Source organism: Homo sapiens, chromosome 2 (genome assembly GCF_000001405.40).
Source record: "Homo sapiens chromosome 2, GRCh38.p14 Primary Assembly".
Classification (NCBI taxonomy): Eukaryota; Metazoa; Chordata; class Mammalia; order Primates; family Hominidae; genus Homo; species Homo sapiens.
Genome location: NC_000002.12, coordinates 117155729 through 117157764, shown reverse-complemented (window position 1 = coordinate 117157764; position 2036 = coordinate 117155729). Strand labels below are relative to the sequence as shown.

The 2036-nt window shown below is 45.4% G+C and overlaps 2 annotated features.

The window, feature by feature from the left end:
• Positions 818 to 1318: an enhancer, noted in NCBI's record as "NANOG-H3K4me1 hESC enhancer chr2:117914023-117914523 (GRCh37/hg19 assembly coordinates)". NCBI's record gives its function as "activates a minimal SCP1, AML or CMV promoter by ChIP-STARR-seq in primed H9 embryonic stem cells {active_cell/tissue: H9 hESC(primed)}" and the evidence as "EXISTENCE:reporter gene assay evidence [ECO:0000049][PMID:30033119]".
• Positions 1319 to 1819: an enhancer, noted in NCBI's record as "NANOG-H3K4me1 hESC enhancer chr2:117913522-117914022 (GRCh37/hg19 assembly coordinates)". NCBI's record gives its function as "activates a minimal SCP1, AML or CMV promoter by ChIP-STARR-seq in primed H9 embryonic stem cells {active_cell/tissue: H9 hESC(primed)}" and the evidence as "EXISTENCE:reporter gene assay evidence [ECO:0000049][PMID:30033119]".

The following is a 2036-nucleotide window of genomic DNA, read 5'->3' as shown; positions in this document are numbered from 1 at the left end:
CTGGGTTGAAAATTCTTTTCTTTAAGAATGTTGAATATTGGCCCCCACTCTCTTCTGGCTTGTAGGATTTCTGCCGAGAGATCTGCTGTTAGTCTGATGGGCTTCCCTTTGAGGGTAACCCAACCTTTCTCTCTGGCTGCCCTTAACATTTTTTCCTTCATTTCAACTTTGGTGAATCTGACAATTATGTGTCTTGGAGTTGCTCTTCTCGAGGAGTATCTTTGTGGCATTCTCTGTATTTCCTGAATCTGAACGTTGGCCTGCCTTGCTAGATTGCGGAAGTTCTCCTGGATAATATCCTGCAGAGTGTTTTCCAACTTGGTTCCATTCTCCCCATCGCTTTCAGGTACCCCAGTCAGATGTAGATTTGGTCTTTTCACATAGTCCCATATTTCTTGGAGGCTTTGCTCATTTCTTTTTATTCTTTTTTCTCTAAACTTCCCTTCTCACTTCATTTCATTCATTTCATCTTCAATCGCTGATACCCTTTCTTCCAGTTGATCGCATCGGCTCCTGAGGCTTCTGCATTCTTCACGTAGTTCTCGAGCCTTGGTTTTCAGCTCCATCAGCTCCTTTAAGCACTTCTCTGTATTGGTTATTCTAGTTATACATTCTTCTAAATTTTTTCAAAGTTTTCAACTTCTTTGCCTTTGGTTTGAATGTCCTCCCATAGCTCAGAGTAATTTGATCGTCTGAAGCCTTCTTCTCTCAGCTCGTCAAAGTCATTCTCCATCCAGCTTTGTTCTGTTGCTGGTGAGGAACTGCGTTCCTTTGGAGGAGGAGAGGCACTCTGCTTTTTAGAGTTTCCAGTTTTTCTGTTCTGTTTTTTCCCCATTTTTGTGGTTTTATCTACTTTTGGTCTTTGATGATGGTGATGTACAGGTGGGTTTTTGGTGTGGATGTCCTGTTTGTTAGTTTTCCTTCTAACAGAGAGGACCCTCAGCTGCAGGTCTGTTGGAATACCCTGCCATGTGAGGTTTCAGTGTGCCCCTTCTGGGGGGTGCCTCCCAGTTAGGCTGCTCGGGGGTCAGGTGTCAGGGACCCACTTGAGGAGGCAGTCTGCCCGTTCTCAGATCTCCAACTGCATGCTGGGAGAACCACTGCTCTCTTCAAAGCTGTCAGACAGGGACATTTAAGTCTGCAGAGGTTACTGTTGTCTTTTTGTTTCTCTGTGCCCTGTCCCCAGAGGTGTAGCCTACAGAGGCAGGCAGGCCTCCTTGAGCTGTGGTGGGCTCCACCCAGTTGGAGCTTCCTGGCTGCTTTGTTTACCTAAGCAAGCCTGGGCAATGGCGGGCGCCCCTCCCCCAGCCTCGCTGCTGCCTTGCAGTTTGATCTCAGACTGCTGTGCTAGCAATCAGCGAGACTCCGTGGGCGTAGGACCCTCCGAGCCAGGTGCGGGACATAATCTCGTGGTGCACCGTTTTTTTAAGCCCGTCAGAAAAGCGCAGTATTCGGGTGGGAGTGACCCGATTTTCCAGGTGCCGTCACCCCTTTCTTTGGGAAAGGGAACTCCCTGACCCCTTGCGCTTCCCTAGTGAGGCAATGCCTCGCCCTGCTTCAGCTCGTGCACGGTGCGCACACCCAATGACCTGCACCCACTCTCTGGCACTCCCTAGTGAGATAAACCTGGTACCTCAGATGGAAATGCAGAAATCACCGTCTTCTGCGTCGCTCACACTGGGAGCTGTAGACCGGAGCTGTTCCTATTTGGCCATCTTGGCTCCTCCTCCTCAAAAGATTCCTTTATTCCATTTTATTCCATTGATTGATTTTCTGTATACCACAGTGAAAATATGTCAATTTATTTTTATTTTGCTGATTTTCTTATTGGTACTATTGCTTTCTTAATTACATTGCTAATTAAAATTTAATTTATTAATCAGTTTTTTGACCAAAATAAATTGTTTCTATTTATCAATTCTGATGTATTATTTTGCTGTCAGTTCTAATTTCAATTTTCCTGGGTCAGATAATAGTGTTTTTCTCTAGCAAATATTTTCTTAGCAGTGTTTTCTTAGTGTTTCTTTTAGCAAATG